Below are 27,998 nucleotides of genomic sequence, written 5' to 3' on the forward strand. Positions count from 1 at the left end.
TAACTGGTATATGACCTTCCTCTAGGAACGTTAGATTGGTAATAGAAGAACGTCTCAAGTGAGCATGCGTATAACTCCCGTAAACACACTGCGCATGCAGCCCTTCCCAAGCACTGGTAGGGCACTGGGCATGCAGACAGCCCACCAGAAGGGAAGAATCAGGAGAAAAGGGATGCAAGATCCCAGAGGTATGCCAATATATAAAACCCTAAGGCAAAGGTCAAGCCAGCCACTTGATCCCTCAAGTGGCCAGCTTGGCCCTCCTCGAAGTGTACTTTACTTCCTTTCGTTCCTGCCCTAAAACCTTTTAGTAAACTTTCACTCTTGCTCTAAAACTTGCCTCAGTCTCTCAGTCTGCCTTATTTTTCCTCGGTCAAATTCTTCCCTGCCTCCCCCCTCCTCCAGAGTAGCTGGGACTACAGGCGCCCGCCATCACACCTGGCTAATTTTTTGTATTTTTAGTAGAGACGGGGTTTCACCATGTTGTTCAGGCTGGTCTCGAATGCCTGACCTCAAGTGATCCACCTGCCTCAACCTTCCAAAGTTCTGGGATTACAGGCGTGAGCCACCACACCCGGCCCCAAATTCTTTCTTCTAAGGAGCTAAGAATTGAGTTCGCTGCGGACCCATAAGGATTCGCTGCTCGTAACAGCTGCTTCTGGGATCAGGTAAGAAAAGGTTTCAAGCAGAAAGCTAGGAAGAATGAATAGTATTTGAATGAGTCAAGTGGAAAGAGGAAAGGCATTTGAGACAAAGGGCATAGCGTGAAGCAGTGAGGCAGCCTCCACCCCACTTCCTACCACCTGTTCTCCCCCTTAGTGGCCTGACCTTGACCTTCCACTCCATCCTCATCCCTCCCCATGGGCACTGTCTCAGAATGTGCCATGCCTGTGACAGCTCCAGGACTCTGGCCATACTGCTTACACTGCCACAGAGACCTCTTTCCTCTTCTTCTTCATGTCGCTAACTCTTACTTGGCCTTGAAGACTAATTTGTGTTAGAAGTTAGTCTTCCCAGAAAGCCTTAGCCTTTGGGAATTTGGTGCTCTTCCTTGAGAAGAAAAGGTACAACCATTTAACTCCATCAGAACACTTATCACACGGCCTTCCCCACTGGACTCAATGGAAGCATCTTGAGGGCAAAGGCCTTACCTTTTATAGCTGATCCTTATCAGCCACAGTGTCCACTACACAGCAGGTGCCCAATAAATTCCTGTAGAATGAATATGCATTTACAGAAAGAGGAGCTGTGAGAAGATGCCTCAGTTTTTGGAAAGGAAAAATGGGTTGATTTTTACATTTTGAATTTAAGCTGATGAGAGTCCTTTCATGTGGACATGTCTAACAAAAATTGGAAGTAGAAGACTGAAACTGGAGGCTGTTGTGATTTTCATTTTTTTTAATTTTTTTCAGATAAACTGAAGCACAAGAGGGTAAAAACTTTGTCCTTGGTCTTACAGCCAGAAAGTGGTGATGCAAAGAACTTAGTCCAAGCTTTGATCTGTTCTGCACTGCCTGCCAAAGCAGAACCTTGAGAAATACCCATGTTTGGGGGATGAGAAGAAGAAGATAAATCAGCAAAGAAAATAGTGATAAGAAAGGTAAGTGATAAGAAAAAAAAAATGATGTAAATAGTAACGATGACAGCCAGGCTTGGTGGTTTATACCTGTAATTCAAGCACATTGGGAGGCCAAGGCAGGAGAAATGCTTGAGCCCAGGAGTTCAAGGCTGCAGTGAGCTATGATGGTGCCACTTGCACTCCAGCCAGAGTGACAGAGTAAGATCCTACCTCAAAAAAAAAAAAAAAAAGATGATGATATTGATGACTTTTTCTTCTTCCTTTTTCTTTTTCCATTCCTTTCCCTTCTCTTCCTGAACTGTTCAGTCCCTAAACCTCAAATAGGACAGAGCAGAGCAGATATCTCTGCTAGGTGAGGGAATCACTGTGGCCCGGAGTGGAATGATGGGAGCCAAATTGGGCATGGAGATGTCTGCCCAGGAGGACAGTGCAGCTGGCAGAATCGTAGCCCAAGGTGGGGGTGAAGAGGAATCCACACAAGGTGGGAGTGAGGAGTTGGAGGAGGAAGCATGAAGAATCAAAGCCCAAGCAGGGTGATGAGGCCATCCCTGCAGAGGGGCAGCCTGGCATGAGAAGCCAGAGCATGGAAAGTCAGAGTGGAAGCAGTGGGAGATGGGTTACATAGGGGAGGATTGATCAAAGGCGTAAATATATTAACAATAAGGGGAGCCAGTTTCTCACTGCTGGAAAAGGGAGGTGTAAATATGGAGGAAGAGAAAACCGAATGAACTTAGTAGTATTGGATTAAAATTGTAAGTATCCATGTATGGTTTTTAATAAGTAGATATCAAAATGAACACAGATGTTAAGTGTGTATATGCATTTACCTGTGAGTATGTGTGCGTATACACACACACAGATAAAAAGATAGATAGATAGATAGATAGATAGATAGATAGATAGATAGATGATAGATATTTCATAACTGTCCACCTCAGAGCCTAGAGTCAATGCCTCCTCAGTAGCTCCTCCTGAGCACACCTAGCACCCCAGGTCTTGGTTTCTAAATCCATCCTAAACCCATTCTCCACTAAAGGAACCAGGGCTCCTTGAAGAAGTAGCTGAACCAAGAGGTGGGCAGGGAAAGCAAAGGCTGGGTGTGGAACATCTTTTTGGGCCAGAAAGCAAAGTAGTACTTAAAGAATGATGGGAAAATGTTATGAGGACATAGAACCAACTAAAATCTAGGATATTTTGTGCCTTAAAATTAATAAGCTGGTGTATTAGTTTGTTCTCACGCTGCTAATGAAGACATACCTGAGACTGGGTAATGTATAAAGGAAAGAGGTTTAATAGGCTCACAGTTCCACATGGATGGGGAGACCTCATAACCATGGCCGAAGGCAAAAGGCATATCTTACGTGGCTGCAGGCAAGAGGGCTTGTATAGGGGAACTCCCCTTTATAAAACCATCAGATCTCATGAGACTTATTCACTGTCATGAGAACAGCACAAGAAGCACCTGCCCCAATAACTCAATTAACTCCCACTGGGTCCCTCCCACAACATGTGGAGATTGTTACAATTCAAGGTGAGATTTGGGTGGGGACAGAGATCCAAACCGTATCAGCTGGAGTGTGCCTCCTATTGATTAAACAAGTCATGAGCCCAGCCCAGATTCAAAAAGAGGGTATGAAGTGGAGGTGCGGTTAATTGGGAGGCTACTACTATCACAACCAATGCCATGGAAAATCAAATATATTAGGAAAAGTAGAAGTTGCTAGTAACCTTGGGAAGCTGAAACTGCTTAAAGTAGCTGGTACAAACTGAAAGTCAGACCGAGAAACAAAGGGCCTTCAAGAAGCTTTCTGAACCATTCTGCCAGCTCTGAGCGTATTTTCTGAACCAGTACTTGGAAAAACTGGTCTCATAAAAGAGCTTATGAGAGCAGAACCACCTCACTGGGGCACCCACAGGCCGTGGGAAATATGATGCTTTCTTAATGCCGCTGGTTTTTAGTCAGGCCACAGTGAGAAGGAACAGTCCTAACAGGCCCCCAGCCAGATCGAGTTAGCTCATTCTTGTTTTAGTCAAGCAGTAAAATTTGCTAATGTTCTACTTTAAGTGCTTTCTCCAAAGACATCGCTCTTTGCCTCGTGTGTTGAACCATCATTCAGTGAGTATATTTCATGGAAAATATGATTGATTGTCTTTTGTAGCAATAATAACATGCTATGGCAACTTTGCCATAAAGATAATACTAGTAATAAATTATAATGCATTGAATAAAATGGGAAACTATGAGTTCATATGATAAAATTAATATATAATAAACTGAAAATGTGATGAGGAGAAAGGTGTTTGCCTAGTTTCAAGGTGTACGTCACCACAAAATATTTACTAACTTCAAAGGTTAAAGTAGTGACTCTACAGCGAAGCAGCCTGGCAGACACCATCCTAATCAGGTGAACACCATCAGTAATGGGGCAAATGAAATGAGTCACGTGAATGAATGCAATAAAGATCACAGCATCACTTCTGTGATTTTCCTGCCAAAGATACGAAACCTGAATCTGATCATGAGCAAACATCAGATAAGTCCAAATTGAAGGACGTTACATAAAATAATTAACTGGTCATCTTCAAGTCTGTCAATGGCAGGAAAGCCAAGGAGGAGCTAAGAACTGTTCCAGAGTGGAAACTAAAGAAACATAGTGACTGAATGCCAGGCACAATACTGAACTGGATCCTGTTGCTATGGGGAACTTAGGCAGGACAATTGGTGGAACTCAGGGTTAGATAGTAGTGATGAATCCATTTCAATTTCCTGCTTTTGATGGTTGTATTTTGGTTTTGTTGGAGAACATCCTTGTTTGAAGGAAATGCACACTAAAATATTAGAAGGTGAAGGAGCATTAGATTGGCAACTTATTCAGGACAGAAGGAAAAAAATCCTTGTAACGAACTTGCAATTTGTTTGTAACTTTGAGAGTATTTTTAATCAATATATTTGTTTTCTTTTTTTAAATTTTATTATTATTACACTTTAAGTTTTAGGGTACATGTCACAATGTGCAGGTTTGTTACCTATGTATACATGTGCCATGTTGGTGTGCTGCACCCATTAACTCATCATTTAACATTAGGTATATCTCCTAATGCTATCCCTCCCTGCTTTCCCCACCCCACAACAGTCCCCAGTGTGTGATGTTCCCCTTCCTCTGTCCATGTGTTCTCATTGTTCAATTCCCACCTGTGAGTGAGAACATGCGGTGTTTGGTTTTTTGTCCTTGCAATAGTTTGCTGAGAATGATGGTTTCCAGTTTCATCCATGTCCCTATAAAGGACATGAACTCATCCCTTTTTATGGCTGCATAGTATTCCATGGTGTATATGTGCCACATTTTCTTAATCCAGTCTATCATTGTTGGACATTTGGGTTGGTTCCAAGTCTTTGCTATTGTGAATAGTGCCACAATAAACATACGTGTGCTTTGTGTTTATAGCAGCATGATTTATAATCCTTTGGGTATATACCCAGTAATGGCATGGCTGGGTCAAATAGTATTTCTAGTTCTAGATCCCTGAGGAATTGCCACACTGTCTTCCACAATGGTTGAACTAGTTTACAGTCCCACCAACAGTGTAAAAGTGTTCCTATTTCTCCACATCCTCTCCAGCACCTGTTGTTTCCTGACTTTTTAATGATCACCATTCTAACTGGTGTGAGATGGTATCTCATTGTGGTTTTGATTTGCATTTCTCTGATGGCCAGTGACGGTTTTTTTCATGTGTTTTTTGGCTGCATAAATGTCTTCTTTTGACAAGTGTCTGTTCATATCCTTCACCCACTTTTTGATGGGGTTGTTCTTTTCTTGTAAATTTGTTTGAGTTCATTATAGATTCTGGATATTAGCCCTTCGTCAGATGAGTAGGTGGCAAAAATTTTCTCCCATTGTGTAGGTTGCCTGTTCACTCTGATGGTAGTTTCTTTTGCTGTGCAGAAGCTCTTGAGTTTAATTAGATCCCATTTGTCAATTTTGGCTTTTGTTGCCATTGCTTTTGGTGTTTTAGACATGAAGTCCTTGCCCATGCCTATGTCCTGAATGGTATTGCCTAGGTTTTCTTCTAGGGTTTTTATGGTTTTAGGTCTAACATGTAAGTCTTTAATCCATCTTGAATTAATTTTTGTAAATATATTTGTTTTCAAAATCTTAATGTCCTAAGTAAAATTTTCAGATCTCTAGATGCAAAATGTTTATTCTTTTAAAATGAGGATGCCATCTATGACTTTCAAGAGTCATAAAGTGTTACAAGTGACTCAAATTATCAAAGGAAAAATTTAGTGAAAGAAAAAAATGCATTAAATAAAACTTCTTGAGAATTCTAAATTGTTTGGTGTAGTCATGTGAGTTTTGTAAGTTTTTGAATTAGAATAGTTTTATTTTTTAGTGTTTTGTATGTATAATATAAAATTATCTTTATTTTATTTTATTTTTTGAGATGGAGTCCCGCTCTGTCACCCAGGCTGGAGTGCAGTGGTGCGATCTTGACTCACTGCAACCTCTGTCTCCCGGATTCAAGTAATTCTTCTGCCTCAGGCTCCTGAGTAGCTGGGACTACAGGTGCTTAACACCACACTCAGCTAATTTTTTGTTTGTTTGTTTGTTTTGTTTTGTTTTTTGTATTTTTAGTAGAGACACAGTTTTCGCCATGTTGCTCAGGCTAGTCTGAACTCCTGACCTCAGGTGATCCACCTGCCTCGGCCTCCGAAAGTGCTGGGATTATAGCCAGCATACCTGGCCATAAAATTATCTTTAATATCTTTATTCTGCAAAAAATAAAGTGATCCCAATAACAGTAATAATAGTAAATGTTTATTAAACAGTCGTTATGTATACTCTGCTGTGAAATATATGGTATTACTTCCATTTACATAACAGGAAACTGAAACTCAAAGGGGCTAAGAAATTTCTCCCAAAGTTAGCATACTAATTTGTAGTGTGGCCAACTTTTGACTTTTCAACACTCCAAAGCCTATATCATTAACTCCTGTTCTTTAGTCCCTCCCATGGAAGCCATAGAGAATGGAATTTTGAGGAAGATACCAGAAACTTGGGCTTCGTTCTAGATTCCTCCCACTCCCTCATTACTTATCCTTAATCCAGTCCATCACCCAGTCTTGCTGGTTCCATTTTAAAACTCTACCACTGCCACCTGGGTTAGTTAAGGCCTCACCATTTTTCTCCTGGTTCCTGGCAACAGCCTCCCCACTCTTCCTAATCCTTATCTCAGTTCTCTTTAGAGTTTCTACACTACCATCAGAATGAAGAGTCTAAAACTAAAATCTAAATATTGGCCAGGCGCCATGGCTCACACCTGTAATCCCAGCACTTTGGAAGGCTGAGGTGGGTGGATTGCTTGAGCCCAGGAGCTTTGAAACCAGCCTGGGCAATATGGTGAAACCTCATCTCTACAAAAAATAAAAAATAAATTAGCTGGGCCCGGTGGCACACACCTTTAGCTCTAACTGCTTGGAAGGCTGAGGCGGGAAGATTGCTTGAGTTTGGGAGGCAGAGGTTGCAGTGAGCCAAGATCGTGTCACTGCACTCCAGCCTGAGTGACAGAGTGAGACCCTGTCTCAAAAAAGAAAACAAAACAAAATCTAAATATCACAAATATGCGTAAGTTCCTATGTGGAGAGAAAAAAGACCCTTTTGTGACTCTATTTACCTTTTGGTTAAAGTTAAAACATGGCACTGGAGTCATCCCATTATCTGGCCTCTGAGTATCTTCCAAGCCTCATGAACTATAAGGTCCCATGCAAACTGTGTGCTCAAAGCATTCTTGAGAGATTTATAATTTTCTGGATACAACAGAATAGTTTCTGTTACGTAAACACAGCTGATACATGCATATCAAGTGTCAGCAAGTGTGACTATCTCTTACCAGCATTTTCTGTGTTTCCCTTCATTCCCAACTAGGCTGAGTTGGATACCTCTTTGTAATTCCCATTACATTTCTGTAAAGACCTCTTCTATATCATATCTTCATAATCTGTCTATCATATCTATCATAATCTTCATAATCTGTCATAGAGTAATATAACCTTCCTTCATCAAACTGCTGTCCTTGAAAGAAGGGATTGGCACTTGTTCCTCCTTGGATCTCTCGTTAATGCCTGGAACAAAGATGGTGCTTCATAAGACATCCCGGAATGAATGAGTGAATGGATGAATACACATGAATGAATTATCAATTGTGTAAAATGCTACAGAGAGGCAAAATGAAAGAACTCGTGTTTTTCAGTAGAACCATTTCAGAAGAGTTGTGAGAGGAGCTGACTTACAGATTAAAGAATTTGAGTAAGAAGACAAAAGGGATGATTTTTTTTTTTTTTTTGAGATGGAGTCTCGCTCTGTTGCCCAGGCTGGAGTGCAGTGGCACGATCTCAGCTCACTGCAAGCTCCGCCTCCCAGGTTCGCACCATTCTCCTGCCTCAGCCTCCTGAGTAGCTGGGACTACAGGTGCCCGCCACCGCGCCTGGCTAATTTTTTGTGTTTTTACTAGAGACGGGGTTTCACTGTGTTAGCCAGGATGGTCTTGATCTCCTGACCTTGTGATCCACCTGCCTCGGCCTCCCAAAGTGCTAGGCTTACAGGCGTGAGCTACCACGCCCAGCCCAGCGGATGATTTTTAACAAGTACTCAGAGGGCTGTTTGACTGAACCTAAGTTCGAGTGGACAGGGTGCCCTCAGTCTCAGGGGTGTAAAATGGCTTAAAAAAATTAACATATACTTTTTAAAAAATTCATATGGGATCTTACCATGTTGCCTAGGCAGGTCTCAAACTCCTGGGCTCAAGGGATCCTCCTGCCTCAGCCTCCTGAGTAGCTGGGATTGCAGGTGTGCCACTGCACCTGGCTCTTAGTAAATACTTTTTAACAGGTATTGCAGGCACAGCATATAAAATTTCAAAAGTGCAAAAGGAAATCCAGTAAAGAGTAAAGCTCTATCACTTCCCACACCCATCCACCAGCCTCTCAGTTGCTGTCACAGGAAAAAATCACAATAAATAACCATTTGGCATGCTTTTGTTTCTTCTCTAAGACTCCATCTCCATAACCTGGCAATGATTTATAGGAAATAACTATAAATCCATTACTTATAAAGTGTAGAGGGGACCAAGGTGGAAAAGATGAATAAATCCCACTGTTGGCACTTTATTTACATATGCAGAAATGCCCAACTCATAATGTGCCCTGGAGACTAAAACGACTCTATACTAGACATTCTAGTGTACATTTAAATTGAGATTTGTAAGACTGATTGCAGATGAGCTTAATGGAAGTAATGGCACATAAATATTAACACAGGTGATTAAATGAAGATATAATGTAATTTGAACAAATCTGCATTTGTAAAATGTCCTTGTTCTCATGCTTTCCTTTGGAAGTTAAAGCCATAGATCACAGCTATAGGATGACTTGACTGTTAATTAGTTGTCCATTAGTCTTCATTTCCTAGGGCTTATTGTGGGAAAGTAAATTTATACTAACTTGTTTTATGCAAACTAATCTATTTGGTTTCCTCTTCTTTCTCCATTAACACCTGGAGTTTTAAAATTATATGAAATTTGGACATGCATAATAAAAATTAAACCCTATTACACTGACTATAAGACAGTTTTGCATGTATATAATAAGTTAATTATGACCATTTGGGCTCAGATTTAAAAATTAAGTAATTTCAATGAAGTGTTATGAGGCAAAAAGCTTATTTTGTGCAATTTTTACAACCACAAAGTAATTAGTACAAACAGCATAAAAGTTACCTTAGATGCTACAAATTAGGCTGGCTATTAACAATAACAGCATTAGTGTTTGTCCCCACTGCTTCTGCCACAGTTTAAAGTACTCATAAGTGCTTCTAAGTTGGATAGTTTTTTTTCTTCCATCCTGAGGCTGTGGGCAAAGGCCGAAACCCTTAAAAAATTTTTTTTAAAATATGTGCATTAAGGCAAGGCTTCAGAAATGTATCTTTCAGCTTTGGAGAGATATGGAAATTAAGAAAACTAATCACTGCAATGATCCCAGACTGAAAATAAGAGTAACTTAATCAGAATGAGATTGCTTCTACACTTCCATCTGAGGGTGATTGGTGGAAGTGATGTCATGTATGGTAAACACTGCCATGGCACTCATGTGCATGCAGTGACAACAGGGAACGCTGCTGCTCCTGTCAGCTCAAACAGGCCAAGGACTAGGCGTCGTCCAGGACTCAGAACCGGGAGTTGGCCTTCGGAAGACATGTTAAGGTGTGTCAAGACGTGTCACCCATGTCATAGCTAGTCCTAGGAAGAAAGTGCTCTTGAAGATGTGGCCTGCTGACAGCTAGCTGCTCCCACCTGACCCCTTAACCGCTGGACCCCAGCAGCTTGGCTAAGTACTCCTGCTCACTTGGTCTTCAATACCAGCGGGCCAGCTGCCCCAAGCCCAGGGGCTGTCCCTTTACGGTCATCTTGCTGTGAATATAGCAAAAATTCTCTTAGATGTTCTTGGCAAACTTGTCAGAACTCTGCTCATTCTAGACTCCAGCTCTCCCAAACTTATTCTTAACATTAGGGCACTCTTCGATTTTATTCTCAGTCCCAAGACTCTCCTTACCTCATCTGTTTATATCTTTTAACCAACAAACCTCCAAGAAAGTTCTCTAAGTGGCCCCTTGGGATTCTTGCGGAATCCTACTTCGTTTCCTGCTTGTCAAGGCCATTTTAATCAGTGTCAGAGCCTCCCAAGTGCATTGGAGCCATTTCCCATTTTAGAGTTCCTGCCCAGAAGGTCACACTTATCTTCTGTCTCAGTGTTTTGAACTCTGCTTCCTGATAGCTGAGGATATGGGCCTACCCGTAAACAATATCCCCTGCCTTGCCAAAAAAGAGAAACTTGCGAATGAAGTCACTCTCTCAGTATTTAATTCAATCAAATGAAAGCAATTATTTATTGAACACTTACTTTGCTCCAGATACTTGGCTATGAGGAGCTCACTGAGTACTGTGGGAGGCAGACCATTGAACTCATACTTTTCTTTTCTTTCTTTCTTTTTCTTTTTTCTTTTTTTTTTTTTTTTTTTTTTGGAGACAAGGTCTCTCTCTGTCACCCAGGCTGGATGGAGTGTGGTGGCATGAACACGGCTTATTGCAGCCTCGATTTCCCCAAGCTCAGGTGATCCTCCCACCTCAGCCTCCTGAATAGCTGGGACTACAGGTACGTACCACCATGCCTGACTAGTTTTTTTATTTTTTATTTTTGGTAGAGATGGGGTTTTACCATGTTGCCCAGGCTGGTCTTGAACTCCTGGGCTCAAGCAACCCTTCTGCTACAGCCTCCCAAAGTATTGAGATAACAGGCATGAGCTGCCACACCCAGCCTAAACTAATACTTTCAACACAATAAGATAAACAAAGTAAAAGAGGTGTGTGCAATGGATAGCAGTAGTACAAAGGCAAGAGTTCACTCTCTCTGGGGAAAGCAACACAAGCTAGACTTTGGAAATAAGTAAAAGTCAGCTGGGCCAACATAAAGCTATAAGGACTTCCCACTGGAAGGGACAGCATAAGCAAAATCCTAGAGATACAAAAATAACATGTCATCATCTCAACTGTCAGTTCTTTTTTTAAAATTAAAGTTAGCATAAGTGTTAACCTTAAATTTTTTTTTTTTTTAATGTTGCTTGGTGTGGTGGTTCACTTCTGTAATCCCAGCACTTTGGGAGGCCAAGACAGATGAATCGCTGGAGTTCAGGAGTTTGAGACAAGCTTGGGCAACATGGTGAGACCCTGTCTCTACCTTGTGCCTCTGTTGCCCTGTGGGTATTATAAGGATCAAAATAATACATATCTACCTCAAATGATAACTGTGATGATTAAATAAGTTAATAAGTCATCCCGCAGTATCCATGGGGCATTGGTTTCAGGATACCCCCTCATATCAAAATCCAAAGATATTCAAGTCCCTTATATAAAATAGTGTCATATTTGCATATAACCTACACACATCCTCCCATGTACTTTAAATCATCTCTAGGTAACTCATAATACCTAATGCTATGTAAACGTTATATAAATAGTCATAAATACTTATTTGTATTTTTATTGTTATTTTTAAAATTATTATTTTCAATCTACAGATGCAGAACCCAGGGATATGGAGAGCCAATTGTATTTGTAAAACACTTAGAATGGTGCCTGACACGTGGTATGTCCTTTAAATGTGGGCTCATATTACCATAAAGTATTTAACTAGGTCTCAATTGATGATGTTCATGCTGTTGCCAATTCTTTGCACGCTTTGGCTACTAAAGAAACTTCCAAGGCAAGTTTTGAATTGCCATGAGCTTCTATTACATTTGGGCTCCTTTTTCTTACTAGCTTACCAACACCCAATATTTGTTTGTGAATACTTCATAAATGCGTACTCATGTTGTTAACTCCCCTTAGAGGCAGCACAAAATGTCAAAGTTGGAGTCCAGCAGAGCAGCTTCCAGGCCAGACCCTGGAAGGGAATCCGTTGCAGGTTTTCTTTCTGCAGAGAGGCCATACCAGGAAGGCACATGCTGAGCAGAGACTGAGAAAGAAAGCAGGAAGATTAGGATAGGAGAGGTCAGACAGTAAATCTAACCGGAAGCCAGGCTGGAAAGCAGCCAGAGTATGAGTGCGGGTCAGAAATGTAGGACCAGAGACGAATCTGAGAACAGAGAACTCAAAAGGACTCTTTGTGCATTAAAATTTTCAGAAAGTGTGAATGGCATACCTTCTTGGAGGAGATGCTTCGATCGATCGATCGATCGATAGATAGATAGACAGACAGACAGACAGACAGAAGATAGTTCTTGAGAGAAGAAAAATGGCTTAGAGCAGTCTGAGCTATATGAGGTATGCAAAATTTATCAGGCCCAGAGAGGGGAGTATGGGGCTCAAGTCTTGCTCTGCCTCCTTGAACCCACACCTAGAAGCAATCATGTAAAGGCATCTTGTTCCTGACTAGCTGCCTCATCTGCTATCTTTATGGTCCTGGAATTTGTGATTCACAGAACAGTGTAGAGCCAATCAACAGCTTGTGTTATTTTCATGGAAATTCTTGGCAAACAACTCAGGAGCTTCCTCTTCCTCTTCTTTTCCTTTGAAAACCTACTTGTACCTGCTGCTAACCAGAGCGTATACTCAGGGCCACTTGAAACTATGCTCTTGGGTTGCAGCCCTCAAGCTTGGCCCAAGTAAATGCTCTACTTATATTAAGTTGGCCTCAGTTGTTCTTTCCTTTAGGTTCACATTCTCATCAACCTGTAGGTACAAATGAGGTTGTTAATATTAATTCCAAAACTACAAGATTCTTTGCTCCTCTTACTCACATGGGAACTCAGTCTCCTCCTCCCAAAGTCCCCTTGGGCCATTTTTGGGGACTGGAGGAATTCTCACATGCTCGGGGACAAATGTGCTCACTGTGGTCTGCTCTATCCTTCTCATCAAGATGCCTCACCTACCTGAGCCTCAGTGGCTGAAGACAACTTAGCAGGTTCTCCCTGCTGCTGCCTCCTCACAACCCATATCCAGGAGAGGTGCTTTTTGCTGTGCTCCTTAGCAGAGTATGTGTAGGGTGGAATGTGGGGTCAGAGGAGAGAACAGCCCTTATCCGTCTAGAGTCTTTTATGATTTAGGTCCTCTTATTTCTCTTCCTAACGCCAGTCTGCTGAGGTTCAAAACGTGTCACCCCAGGCTGGATTGGGGAGAGGGAAAGAAAGACATATACCAGCCACCTGCTCCTTGTCCTTGCTGCTTTATCTCTAGTCATTCAAGAACAAATATTAAGCAGCCATTGTAGTAAATTGAATGGAAAACTAACTCCAATTGTCTGCCCCTCTCTGTCTCTATGCCCTTTGCAATGGGACACTAAGTTCCTCCTATTATGAAGTGGAAGCTCTCCTCACCCCTTTAATCTGGGCTGGCCCATGACTGGCTTTGATCAGCTGGATGTGGCTGAAATGATGGGATGTCCATATTAAGCTGTACCTCCAGAGGCCTCGAGCTCTTCCACTCACTCTTGTGGCTCCTCTGCCATACCCTGAGAAGAGCCTGGTTAGACTACCAGCTGATGAAATACGGCCTCAGCCAACAGCTAGCTCCCAGCCAGCCCCCTGCCCAGAAAAGCCCAGATGCATGGCTCTGCCAAGCCCTGTGTAGATGACCTGCTTTTACATGAGTGAGGTCAGGGGACACCTGAAGATCCATCCAGCTAAACTACAGATTTGTGAACCAAATAAAGTCTCTGTCATTTGAAGCCACTGGGTTTCTGTTTGTTACACAGCATTATTGTGACAAAGGATAAACGATACCAACCTATTTCTGACCTCCAAAATCAAGGCTTTTTGCACATTCAAACATTCCTCCGAGAAGCTCAACAAATAGCCAAGTTCTAATTCTCAGTCTGGATTCAGCTGGGATGCCCTGCTGCCCTTACAACGGCCCAGTGGCAGACAGGAGCAAGATGGAAGGATTTTAATTCAGCAGATGTCCAGGAGGTCTGAGGGAAAGCTAGTCAGCCCACTGGGAATGGCACACATGAGGAGTTTGGGGATAGGAGTGCCCTACCAATCTATAATTCGTATACAAAGATCACAGTAGGCTTTGTGTGACAGCACTTCTTATGGAAACTGGCAAGGGAGGCCAATTTCCTCAGTTTGGACTCAGTTGGGACTGAAATGAAACACAGAACAGCAAGAAAAATGGGGCAGGAATCACAGAGAAAACATTGAGCTGTCCCAAGTCCTGGAATGGTGGCTCCGGACAAGTTTATCTAAAATCTCTGAGGGCAGAGAAGCCCCCTCAAGTGGGAATTTGAGTTACATGTTATTAACCTCAGTCTATATCCTGTCTCTAAATTTCTTTTAAAAAAAAAACAAAAAAAGAGATGGGGTGTTGCTATGTTGACCAGGCTGGTCTCGAACTCCTGGCCTCAAGCAGTCTTCCCATCTCAGCCTCCCAAAGTGCTAAGATTACAGGTGTGTGCCACTGTGCCTTACCTAAATTTCTTTTATTATACAGAGTTGCTTTGTCTAATTCTAGCCCTGTGGTAGCTACCCAAGATTGTTGTAACCTCCAGTGATCAAGTTCTTTGGATAAGCAAAGAGGGAGGGCATTAAGTGTGTGGAAAAGACCCCTCCTCTCCACTCTTGTTGCAAGGCAAGTTCTTTTCCTTAATTGTCCCCTGACTCTTCTACGTTGTTTCTGGAAGCTTTTTTTTTTTTTTTTTAGAAGTAGAGTCTCACTCTATTGCCCAGCTTTGAACCCCTAGACCCAAGAAATCCTTCTGCCTCAACCTCTTGAGTAGCTGGGACTACAGGCACATACCACCACATCCTAATTAAAAAAAAAAAATTATAGAGATAGGAATCTCCTGCTATATTGCCCAGGCTGCTCTCAAACTCCTGGCCTCAAGTGACCCTCTAGGCTCGGCCTCCCAAAGTGCTTGGATTACATGCATGAGCCACTGCAACTGGCTTATTTCTAGGGACTTTGAATGGAGCCTGCACACCAGGGGCAGGTGAATGGAGGCTGAGTCAGCCAGTCAGGTGAAAACTGAATGCTTTTAAACTCTGAAGTGTTCCACTGGACTGTGTTGATGGAGCTCCTTTCAAACTGGGGCCTGCCCTTGCCTGCCAGTCAAACAGAACTGTCCACAGTCTAGCAAATGGCTGTCGTACATCAATAGGCCATTCATTGGAAATCTAATGATTGGCAACTGGGACCACAGGTACAGGGAATGCAATAGAACTCAAGCTGTGGTTGAGTTCTTGTTCTGTCTATCCTTTTGAGTGATGAAAAATGAGGCCAGATCTAGGCAATTTTTTCTTTACATTGAAAGCTTAGCCTCTTGATCCTGTTGGGGCTGGAGCGAGTGTGGAGTTAGGCTCAGAGAAGTGGTTAATGTACGCTTTGCTCCTGATAGCTGTTTCTGAACATTCTATAGTTATAGTTCTATAGGTGTAGGTTCCTAGTTGTTTGGTGTCTGGCCCTGTGGGATTTAGGGGGTGGGGGAATATGGGCTTGGTATTTGAGAACTGGGTAACAGAGATGGTGGGGAGGTTTGGGCTCTGGATTTGTTGGTTTGCATATTAAAGGAGTGCTCACAGGCCAGTTGTTTGCTCTCTCTAGGAATTAGCTAACCCTCAGAGAGGCAGTCTGTCTCCAAGTCCATGAGGTCCCCAAAGGTCAAAGCATCATACAATACAGAAAATAAAAAGCATGATTAATACTGCAGGCTGAGAGGATATGTGTTCCTGCACTGTCAGACCAAGCGCAAGAATTGTTGGAGACATGTTACAGCTTCTCTGCCTTCTCTCAATGTTACGCTGTTCAGGACTCAGGATCCTGCCCTCTGAGGGTTTACAGAAGTCATTCTCACTATCTCACACTGGCCGTCTTGACCCAGAGCAGTTCTTTACTTTCTCGGGACACAAACGGGATGAAAGTCCAGGGCTGGGACTTCCTCCTTGGAATGTTTGACAAGGACTGACGTACTCTAGGCCCTTTGAATCCCGGAAGTCCAGGACACACCCAACCTTGATTACAGTGTCCAGAATGCTGGAGCGTAGGTGAAAGGACAAAAGCCAGACACATTTCAACATGAGGGACCCACTGACAGATTGTCCGGTGAGTAGCTCAGTGTGGTTTGTGTGCCTGCGTGTGAGGAGGGTGGAGGGTGGATTTGTATATTAATGGATTTTAACTTAAGAAATTTGAGACACTCAGAAACCAAACACATTTAGATATTGGCTGTGGTGCAAAAGTTTGTGGTTTTTCTTTGGTTCAGTTTAAAAACAGAGCTTTTTCTAGGAAATGACAGGGCAGGTAATTGTCATCTTTCCTTCTCATATTCTTGGAAAAAGTTTTGAGAGAGTAAAGCCTCATATTTGGATCCAGATGGTGGCTGTTTGGAAAACATTCTTAAGACATACACCCATGGTGCCAACATCATGTGTGGTGTGGATACAAAAACACACAGAATGTCTGCAGCCAATTTTTGGCTCTGAGAATAAAGTGAGGGAGGAGAGTTTTTGTGCCTTTTCACCCTCATTTTTTGGAGTCAAGGATCACAAGTCCTGCAGGAGGAAGGATAGACTCCCCACTCTGCCTGGCCTGCAGTGGCTCTCAGACTGGTTTAGCAGCATGTTTGTTCCATGTTTGTTCGTTTTGGTAATGTTTGGAGCACTACCAAAAATATAAGTTTGGTCAGAAGTCCAAAGACATTGTGAGGTCTCCGGCGGCAATAGCAGAGATGTAATTTAGGAGATAAGAAGCAACTAAAATAAAGGGGGGGATATGTTTACTTTGAAAATAAAGTAATTAAGGAGGGTCAGTGTTTTATCCCAACACATGGGGCTGAAAAGCTAAGATTGGTGACATCATAAGCAGGAGGTTGCAGTCATCCTTCATGTATTGATAACACAAACTGTGGGGCGGCAGATAAATGGGCGCTGAGATAAAGTCATAAAGAAAAAGATCAGCAGAGGATTATTGATTTCCTTTTTGTTTATTCAATGGATAAGAAAAGCACATGGTTGGAAAAAATGGAACTATAGTTACTATTGCAGAAAATCAGATGAGCTAAATGAGATGAACTCATAAATGACTAGTAATTTTAATAATGACAACATAGTAGCCAATTCTGCCTAATTTTCCTTTTTTTAAATACAGAAATAATTTGTGCTTAATGTAGAAACAAATTCCAATGATATGGTTATATATAGATTTTTAAGAGTGAAACTTCCCCCTTTAATTACTTCAATCTCAGTGTTCTCTCCATTGTTAATTGTGAATAATTTTTAAGAAGTCTTTTATCATTTATTTTTCTCTCCTTGAGGTTGCTCCCTGACTAAACTGTTAAATCCTCTCCTGTCTCAACACTCCTACCTCAATGTTTTTGTATAGGGGCGGCAGGCCAGGACAGGGATGGGGTAAGTGGCAGCAAAATCTTGGCACTAATAGTAACCAAAGAAGAAAATTAACACCAGGGAAGGGTGCAATGGACAGAAGACAGGGAAATGGTGGGCAGCTTTAATTAAGTTTAAAAAGAGAAGAAGAAATAAATCCATAAAAAAGAAACTGAAGGTCTAACATCCTTTTTGTAGACAGCAAAGTCAAGTCTTCAGACGTGGAGAAATGTTTTCTTTCAGCAGCCCCCAAGGCAACCCATAACCACACTTCTGTGTCTGCTTAAAGCTCCACTCCCTGGCATGCTGAATAGTTCCTTGTGCTATGCTGGGCCAAGGACTCCTGTCCTTGTCTAAAACTTTGAAGGTCATCTGTATGGGCTCATTGCCACCAAAAGTATCCGGGAGTCATGGGGAGGGCGGATATCCCTTCAGCCTGGGTTTCCAAACCCTCTAAACTCACAGAACATTTATTTATTTGCAATTGTTTCATCTTAATCAAGTGTTCAAGTTGATTTCCTGGCACATTCTTAGCTTGTACTTGGGGAACAATGCTATGTGAAGATGAATCTGCGGTTTGGGAACAAAATAAGACAAGGAAATGGATTGCAAATGAGTGCCTCATGAAACATTTAGGTAGTTTTATAAAAGAACCCAAAGCTTTAACCACCTGCAAAATGTCCCCTTCCATGAGTCCCTAGAGTTGCACAGAGCACAGTTCATAAAGTATTAGCTTAGCTACTGTTCTTAACCGGGCCCACACCAATGTACCCATGTATGGAACTCAGTGGGTTGCATGAACTTCAGTGAAAAAAAATCTCTATTTGTACTAATTTCTAACTGAAATTTAGAATTTTATTCAATCCAGAATATAGGCAACAAGCCCCAATACTATTAGTCATATCTGTATAGTGTCTGTGACTTTGTAACCAATAAAAATCAGAAATTTTATGATAACATTACAGTTGTTGCACATATCTAGAAATATTTACATTCACCCTGACTTCAAAATGTTGGTAATACTTAAGATATGTAATTTAGTATGTTAATAAAAAAGCACATAATATCATAATTTTAAAAATACATTCTAAAAAATATATAATTCATTTCCTTTTTAACCCTACGCTACTTAAAAATGTTATTCTGAATCAAATAGGTTTCATGAGACTACAAAAAGGGCTCATGGTACGAAAAAATTTAAAAATCTCTTTTAGATCAAGCTCTAATGGGCAAAATAGACTGACAGCTGGGCCTTTCAACCTCAAAGAGCAAGGTCAGTGTTTGAGTTCAAATTGTTGCCAGGGTGGCATAAGATTGCCTAAATGCTGTGTAGGATTAATCTTGAGAGTGTCAGAACTTATTTGAAAAAGATATCTGTAAGATATCTTTAAAGTTCTGTTTTTGACAAGGAAAAGAATTGGCTCTGGGCCTTGATGTTTCATTGCCTATGAAGGTTTAGGTTTAGCTCTTAAACCTAAAAATATGTCTAGGGAACTCATCTTCAAATCCATGTGCAAGAAAGGCGAAGTAAGATCCAATTATCTCTAAGGGAAAGAATCCAATCATAAGAAAGTATTAATAGCACCTTCCTATCAAACAATCACATAGAAATCAAGGACAAGTAACAAGCTGTAGCCAAATTTTTGCTTTTTACACACTCATACAGTATCCAGGAAGGGGTCTGTCAAAGCAAGTCTTCTGGGCGCCACACAGTCAGCCCCTCCCCGCATGTCATCGGCCATTGAAATGGCACCAGGCTGCTCCTCAGGTTGGTAACCTGGCTCAGATGCCAACCTGAGCTTCCCATCTTGGTGGCTTAGCCTGGATATCAGACAATGACTGTCACTAACTCAGATGGTGCCGGTGCCATGGTCCGTAGCTCCTAGGAGAATCTGACTCGCTGCAAAAATACAGAAGGAGGCTGCATATGGCATGGGTGTCACGTGGCCCACAGCCTCCCCAGTGTGCATCAGTGAGATGTGTAACATGCCATTCCACATTTCTTGGACCTCTGTTTCCTTGTGTGTAAAGTAAAAGGAGGAAAGGATGGAGTAGACTATGCTCTTTAATGTTCCATATCCCGTAATCTATGACAGTCTGCCACAGGGATTCCAAATACTACGCAGATGGTGAACAAGTACATGGAATCCCTTCAGAGAGGGGCAGTGCTTTGAAACATCACCCCCAGTGAATCAGAACTCACATGATATCAGTAGCACAGTGCCTGGCGTAGTAAAGGCAGTCAGCAAAGTTCATTGTGTTAAATTTAAGGGGAATATCATGGTTTCTTTAACACTGTGAGGATCATCACTAATCAAAAAAAATCCTTCTGTACTAGCATCAATAAAAATAAATTTTTCTATAACTTTTTCTAGAACTAAATTTAACCCTCTTAATCATTCAAGCAGAAAGAGCAGGTGGGCCAAGCTTGATATAGGCACTTTATAATCTTTACAAGTCGCCTGTCTAAACATTTCATGTGCTGACTGGCTGGATTACTAAATGTTTTTTGTAATGGCTATATTTATCAACAGAATTTGCTTACAAGTGCTGGGAAGAAACATTTTCCTAATGGCCGAATGGGAAATGTCTGTCAAATAGACCAGTTGTCTATTTGAGAAGGGGTTATTATTTTTTTAGGGGCTCAGGAAGATCCCAGGTATTCCACTACCAGACTGAAATCCCTTTATCAGGGGAGAAAAACCTCATCGTGTTTTTTTCCCCAATAATTAATGGTCCCCAGGAGAAGCAGCATATTAATATGAATTCATATGGAGATGTAGAATCAATAGTAGATTATTCCCTGGAATGAATATTTGATAGGGGGTTAGGATATTTAAAAGCTCAATGGGTAGGAAAAGAACACCAAAATTGCCTTCCACCTGACTGCACTTCTTCTCAGCAAGCTCTTCTTCTTGTGCTGGTTAATGACATCAAGAAGCCAGCTGTATTGCACATAACACTTAAAGGCTACTATAACTTGGAGTAAACTTACTGTGATTATACAGATTAGCCATTTATAAATGTATTTGTTTCTGATGGATTCTCTAATTGATTTTCATACCTAACATTTCTAATCACAACTCTGTCTCTAACTAATTAGGTTATCCTTATCTCTTTGGGTCTTAACTGTAAATAAGGGAATTAGACTTTGGTGGCTTGCAAACTGTGCTCCATGGAACCCTTTCAGAGTCCTCTCTGGTGGGTGGGAGTGTGGTGAGGTAGGAGTGAGACAACCAAAACTAAAGTCAAGTGATTTCACCCCCACAAAGCAGGTAAGTTCCAAGATTTTCTGAACACACACACACACATACATACACACACACACAGAGAGAGAGAGAACTATATGGTCTCTGGAAGTCTGCTGTAGCATTTAAGTGGGTCTGCTTTTCACAGTTTTTGTCTCCAAGTCTCAGTAGATGGTACATAATGAAAAGTACAGAATGATTGATTCTAAATAAGGGTTTATGCTGGGATAATGAAAATATTCTTAGCAAATCTTTTATTTATTGATGTCACCTTTATCTCAATCTGGATCAAGGTTTGTTGGGGGAATTTTTGGCGTATAGTATATAGGATCAAGGGTAAAGATTCTCTCCATTGCTCTTGTAAGCACATCTCTTATCTGATCGCTAAATTAACAACAAGTATGAAGATCTTCTCAACTTGCATGTGCCTGGGCATACTGGCGTTTGAGGTTTGAGGGTGGGTTACAGGTGTACCTTAGACACAAATCCTCTGCACCGTTGAATTGGCAGAGTATGGCTGGGAGCGAGGTACGAGGCAAAGCCATGGGCCAGTTCCCTCTTCCTGGAACAATTTTGTCCATTTACCACACTCTACCAGTACAAATATTTGCTATGTGCACCATTTTGGGACAAAAGTTAGAAAGTACTGGTCTATGAAATGACAGAAAATCATCTTCCAAAATCTAGACCTGGTAGCCCATGGGTCAATGGAAGCCATAGACTGTGCTTTGGTCCAGCAGCCCCTTACTTTAAGAGGTTGAATGTGAATGCCTTTGCCACAGGCTTCACCACTGCCACTGAAGGCAATTGAGTTTTCAATCACTGGCTTATAAACTTTCAGCATGGCCTAGCCTCCTAAAACTAGTTCCCTTGAGACAGTATTTAAAAATGTGTCTTAGGGAGTTTTGATGGCTTGATAAGTTTAGGAAATGCAGCAGCCCCTGTAACCCAAGCACATAGAAAAATTCTCAACTGGTTCTACTCATTTCTACATTGGTTATGAGCAGAGTTTTCTCTACATGCCCCCATTCCACGCTTGATGTCCAGGGTCCCTTGTTCTCTCCCATAGGTAACTTCTATGTGCAGACTATCCTGTGGTGATGGTGGACTGGTAGGGCCTTTCCCTTAGGACATTTCATCTCAGAGTCCCTTCCTTCCACTCCTGCTTCCCCTAATGGGAGGTTCTTTTTCTCCTTCCCACTCTAAATCCCTCGAATCCATCTCTCTGCTTTCTTTTCTCCCATCCTCAGCCCCAGCTTTATAGTGTGTTTGAGAGCAGAAGAATTTACTCCGTAAACATGCATCCAGGTCTTTCTCTCTTGCACAAGGCCCCATGGCTTTTTGTTGAGTCTTTGTTTCTGCTTTGCTGTGGGCTGGAGAGAAGTCAATAAGACAATACATAAAAATCCATAGCTTAATACTGTGAGATATTTCTAAATAAATCAAATAAGAAAGCCACAGGACCTATAAAGAAAATCATAAAATTTTATTGAACATAAAATAAAATTTGAACAAATGCAAAAACTTACTATGTCCTTGGATAGAAAGTCTAAACACCATTAAAAAGTCAATTTTCCCAAATTGATACATGTATGTAATACAATTCCAATTAGGATCCCAACGGGGATTTAAAAAGAAATGTAATTAGACAAATGTTCATATGTTAGAATAAATGCCTCAGAATAGCCAAATAAATTATGAAAAGGAAAAAAATAGTTGTTTAAAGAGAAAGCAGAAGCAAAGTGTTAAAATCTCTATAACTTAGGTAGTGAGTACATAATGTGTATTATTATTTTCTGTATCATTATGTTATGAAACATAAAAGTGTTTCATAATTCAAAGCAAAAAGACCCTGTATGAGTTAGAACTATGTTCAGCTGCATATTAGAAAAACCCCAAATACATATGTCTTTAGAAAACAACATTGTATTTTTCTTACACATAAAATAAATCCAAAAGTAGAGAGTTGAGGGCTCGTGTGGTGTTCTTCACAGCCATCAGGGACCCAGGCTCTTTTTCTCTTTCCACTCTGTGATCTTAATGCATTATGTCCAATCTCAATACCACTTTATGGCTTTGGCCTTCATTTTCAAGTCCAGAAGGAAGAAAAGAGGGCAAACAAGCCTTTACTGAAACCTCATACAAAACCTTCCCTCACATCTCCTTGGATAGCTTTCAGTCACATGGTTATAGATCAAAGGGGGAGGGAGGCTGAGAAATGACCTTATTTCAGGAGTATGTACCCCACTAAACATTTAGGCATTTTCTTCTCATGACACTGAGGTGTGTTTCATGGGATGCTATTAAGTATTATAGAAGAAAACAAAAGGCTTAGGGAGAAATCTAGTGGAAATGTTTAGGTAACATAGGAGTAAACAAAGAGGTTAAACAAGTTTCTTTACTGCAGGTCTTCTCACAATTTGAAAATACTCCCTTAAACTTTCCCAGTGTGCTGTAAGGGTAGGAAGGAGGCCTTAATAGTATCAGACCATTCATATATGGTCTGATAATAATAAATATATTATTATATTATTTTATTAAAATATTTATATATTAAATATAAAAAATAAATAATAAAAATAATAAAAAGTTAGTTTTATTGGAAGTAAAAATTAGAAAGCTTGATTGCCAAATAGTGATTTTACTTTCATGACTGACAGGAGGATTATTTTTCCTTCATGAGAGAGGCTACAAATTGGAACCTCACTACAAGTGTGTTTTGTTTACACTGCAGAGAGGTTTTTAATTTGTGAATTGTTTGCTACCATTAAAAAAAAATCATGTTTCGGATGCAAATCCTGATTTCAGCTTTTTTGGACAAAGTGGGAGATCTGGCTTTCCTGGGCCACATTCCAGGTGGCAGTGATGGGCCAGAATGGTTCTAGCAGCTGCCTCACCAGTTCACGGTCCTCACCCTCCTCCTCACTCATTCAGGTGCCTGACTGGTGCCAGCAGCCACAGGATTTTACAAACTCTGCTTTAGAAATTAGCAATTTCCTCATTAAAGCTTTGCACCCTCACCACTCTCCTTGTATCCCAAGCAGTTTCAAGTCCTATCACAGCTTTCTGTGTTAAATTCACAGGAAAGTTAAACTACTGCATAAGGGTAAATGGATATGGTAAGACTGTTCCTGTATCCTAGGCGTTGGTTTGTTCCATCCCCAAAGGTAGGGACCTGGATTACCTCATTTCTTTAGGTCTTTCCTCCTCTGTCACCCTATGTCCTTAGTTTGATACTCTGCTAAGCACCACATACCAAGTGCTTTGTTGACTGAATGGCTTTCTGGGCCCTGAGGGGTTGTGTGTTTGTGAATGTGCCTGCTGCAATAGGAGGCACTCAGTAAATGTGAATTTCCTTCCTTTTTCCCTTCTCAATATGGTGCCCAACTGAATGCTGGCGATATTTGAACACTGGAATAGGCTGGCTCATTGTATGAGCAAAGAACAGCACAGCCCTCAATCCATACTGAATTTGGGTCCTCTTATGTAAAATCTCATTTTGAAAAATGCAGTCTGCTGTTGCACCTCCCAGATGGAAACCATGAGAGAGTGTGTCTGGGATATTCCATCATCTAATTCACTTGCTCTGTGTCAGAAAAAGCTGCAGAATCAATTGACATTTAGCTTCTCTGTTTGGGCACTTAAAATCTGTTGTCATCAATGTCTACATTTATAGTTTCCAGGAAGACATTGTGGAGTTCTAAATCAAATGACAAAAACTTTTACTGGAAATTCTCGTGTCCGCAGGATAAATTCAAATATACATGAATTTATAAAGGGTAATTAATAAATTTATAACAGTTTGGTTTAACCAAAATGTTCAACTCATTGCGATAACATTTTTCTTACTGGAATTAAATGAGACAGAGGACTAGGACAAAGTTTTCTTACCAGGTTATTTACTGACAGTTTCATATCTCAGACAAGAAAGGCTCACTCTAATGGCTCATGGTTTGTCATGAGCCCCAGAAATATTATTTTGAAGTTTATATGTGCAGGAGGGGCATAAAATAGTTACGTGGTGTCCTTCAGAATGTATTTTTTTGTCCTTCCTGGGAACAATAGGGGTGACAGGAAACCAGACTCCAAATGCACCCCACTGCTGAATTGTTTGCATTTGGCCAAGGGGAGAAATAGATCAGCTTCATTTTTGAAAAGTTCTCCTGGGTCTTTCATATCCAGGTAGAAGAGACTTCATCTTTATTTTAAGAACTCATCCAAAAGGTATAAATGCCTGTAGCTGCACGATCCTTTATAATGACAGTCATAGTTATAGTAGTTTTCTGAATTTATAGGTGCTCTATCTTCGGAGTTGCTCGTAATCTTCCTGTTCATTGTTTTTTTGTTATTGTTCTTGTTTTTCAGTATAATAAAGTATACAAGAACCTAAAGGAGTTTTCTCAAAATGGAGAGAATTTCTGCAAACAGGTCACATCTGTTCTTCAGCAAAGGTACAAAATGCACGTTTGCAATAAATGGTTCTTCCTCTTTAGTTGTAGCAAGTGATATGACTGGAGGAGTGATTACAAGCTGTCCTACTTTCCAGAATGTGGTGTTATATTTTGGTACTCGAGAGATTGCTTGAAGAGTGATTCTCCCCTATTGCACATTTATCAACTGGATGCCATAAAAATCAAGAAACAGCAGGAAGTAATTCAGCTTAGGAAGGCTCAGTCAAGTCTCTTCTGATTCCTCAGACTGGGTTTATTACCCTCTCCTGGGGCCCACTGTTGGATCTGATGCATAGTCTCATTATTGTACTTTTCACACCGACAGCAATTATTTACATTTTTCTCTCCCCTCGAAGGGCAGAGGCAGTCTTACTCATCATTGTATGCTGACCTCTTAGAGCCTGGCCTTTTGATTTCCTTAGTCACTGTCAGGTGGATGAATGAAAAGTCACCATTTTCAGCATCGTCTTCTTAGTACTAGGTATGATCATGTGTAAAGCTTTTCACTGTGCTGAAATGAGCACATTTAACTCAGTCAAGAAAGTTATGAAAGCCCTGCTTGAAATGAGAAAACCCAAGGAGTGAATTTGGTTATAAGGGACCTTTTAGGCCTTTTCCCTACTTCTAGATAGCTCCGTAATAAGCAACTCTAAAGAGACCTTCAGAAGACTGTTAAAACCATTTCAAATTTAAAATAATGAATGTGTGCCATAAGACCAAAGATGCCATGGATTGGTTGCATCCTGAATTAGTAGGTTGTAGGGGAGAAAACATAATTTCTTTTCTGTCGCTTTTCAAGTTCTTAGTTGAGATACTCTTCTGAAAACGAGTTAGATTAACAAAAGAAAAACAAGCAGAAACTTATTAATACATGCTATACCCATCACATGGGAGAGGCCTTAGTTCAAAAGTATTTCTCTCTCAAGGCAGTGGCTTAGGGGTCATGCTTAAATAGTATTTCACCAAAGAGCCAGAAATCCTAACAGGGACAAAGAAGATAGCATCTTTGGGCTTCCAAAAGGCAGGAAAATGTGGGAAGGTAAATATACGGGAAGAGTAAAGTCTGCTCCTAGATCCTCTGGCACCACCATCTCTGAGCAGATAAGCAAGTGTTGGACTGTCTTTAGGTGGGAAAGGCAGAGAGAGGGGCAGAGTGTGTCCCTTTGTTTTAACCTTTTTTAAACTCAACAACCCGCAGCATTTTTGAGAGGAATGTTTTGGCTTCCTTCAAGGTCAAGACAAAAGGAAAACATTAGCTTTATCAGCACCAAATAAATGGGGCCAAAGAAAGATATGAGCGAGCTGAAACAGACTTTTATAAAGAACAAAACCAGATTTATCAAAAGGAGTCAAAAAGAGAAACATTTTAAATATGAAGTAACTTCTATCCTAACAGCCAAATTGCTCTGGTTCCATGACAGAGAAAGCGGGAGGTGCCATCTGAGAGGGAATTTCTTCTGTAAGAAAATATTGTTATCAGTCCCAAAGGAAATTATTTAAAATAAGACCCATTATTTGTATGACTCCTATGAATTCAACTCATTACCCAGATTAGAAAGCCACCTTCTGCCTGCAGAGCAGGAAGAATCTATGCATGTATCAGCCAGGCATGTAACGTGGGTTGTAGTCATCTGGGCATTAATTATTTGGTGTCTGAGAGTTCAAAATTAGTGCCTGGTAGAGAGCTGTGAAGATAGAAGACAGGCAATAGATGATGCCTGCTGCTAAACAGACTCAACAGTGAACTGAAAAACTCTGAGGGAGTCTCTGCTTGAAGCCTGTCTCACTGTTTTTCTTTTTTCTAGATCACTCCATATCCCCACCTTGCCACCGACATCTACTTTCTTCATACAGCAGAGCCTTCATTTCTTATTTTTGTTTTCTTGAAGTCTCTTCCTAGGGCTGCCATCTGCCCTGGACCTATTAATGTGTGAAACCCTCCATTCACTTATTCTAGAGTGACAAACATATCCAGTGGGGAAGAAACACTTGGGTAGCTAAAGTTATCTCCCCTCATAGCTTTACATCCTTATAGAGAAGAATTTAGAATTTGAACATCTCAAGAGTCTACTGGTTAGCAAAATTACAAAGCACATTCCTGCACAAAAACAGTATAGTATGAGTACAAAGAACAGATCTAATATTTTACCTAGATCAAAAAAATTATGCTACATATTAGGTCATTTATGTAATAAATGCTTTTCTGAACATTTTCTAAGCTAAACTTTTACAATTAAATTATTTCCCCTTAGCCAAGAAGCCATTTTTAAAGTTGCTTTGTATTGATTCCTGGTAAATGTACATTTGCGGTGTCTCCTCGTCTTGAGCTTTCAAGTTTCCTCCCCTTGCTCAGCTTTTAGATCATGTAGTTAACCTGAAGGATGCTTGTCCACACTAAAAGAGATGGCATTTGGGGAGAACTGTTTTCTAATGGACACAAATATTCTATTAATCTATGAATTTGTGGCACATTGTATACTTTTAGACAGCATTTCTGTGTATTAGCAGGCAAAGATACAGGCCACTTCACTTCTCAGGGCTGGATCATTTCTCTCCCACACAGTGACGTGATTCTGAGGTCACTCCCTCTTCCTAGTGTGTTTGAACTGAGTCAACAATTATGTTGGTTATGGTTGTTAAACCATATCAACAAGGATGGATGGTCACAGCATGGCTGGGATTACATTTGCCTTGACTCTCCCCATTCTGTGAAGTCAGAAATTCCTCCTCTAGATATACATTGGATAGAAGGCAGATTCCCACCAGCTATCTAGAAATGCGCCTTGCCCTTATT

At 40.9% G+C, this 27,998-nt stretch overlaps 1 protein-coding gene across 11 annotated transcripts in view, besides 2 other annotated features; it reads left to right on the plus strand.

The window, feature by feature from the left end:
- Window positions 1–90: 90 nt before the first annotated feature.
- Window positions 91–27,998, plus strand: part of NOSTRIN (nitric oxide synthase trafficking) — a 78,976-nt gene continuing 51,068 nt past the window's right edge. For 9 of the 11 annotated variants that reach the window (XR_007069110.1, XR_922836.2, NM_001039724.4 and 6 more), the window contains exons 1-2: window positions 16,189–16,225; window positions 25,119–25,204. Coding sequence is in view for 8 of the 11 variants with exons in the window: in NM_001039724.4 (NP_001034813.2) it covers window positions 16,199–16,225; window positions 25,119–25,204 (113 nt within the window). In the remaining 3 variants the exon portion in view is untranslated. Of the gene's footprint in view, window positions 189–1,412; window positions 1,601–11,706; window positions 11,775–14,617; window positions 14,756–15,932; window positions 16,226–25,118; window positions 25,205–27,998 lie in introns of those variants that run through there. The other 2 variants (NM_001171631.2, NM_052946.4) reach the window with 2 other exon arrangements.
- Window positions 12,011–12,305: an enhancer, noted in NCBI's record as "tiled region #4310; HepG2 Activating non-DNase unmatched - State 22:ReprW, and K562 Activating DNase matched - State 5:Enh". NCBI's record gives its function as "activates a minimal TATA promoter and a strong SV40 promoter by Sharpr-MPRA in HepG2 and K562 cells {active_cell/tissue: HepG2 | K562}" and the evidence as "EXISTENCE:reporter gene assay evidence [ECO:0000049][PMID:27701403]".
- Window positions 15,633–16,132: an enhancer, noted in NCBI's record as "H3K4me1 hESC enhancer chr2:169658591-169659090 (GRCh37/hg19 assembly coordinates)". NCBI's record gives its function as "activates a minimal SCP1, AML or CMV promoter by ChIP-STARR-seq in naive H9 embryonic stem cells {active_cell/tissue: H9 hESC(naive)}" and the evidence as "EXISTENCE:reporter gene assay evidence [ECO:0000049][PMID:30033119]".

This window comes from Homo sapiens, chromosome 2 (assembly GCF_000001405.40).
Source record: "Homo sapiens chromosome 2, GRCh38.p14 Primary Assembly".
Classification (NCBI taxonomy): Eukaryota; Metazoa; Chordata; class Mammalia; order Primates; family Hominidae; genus Homo; species Homo sapiens.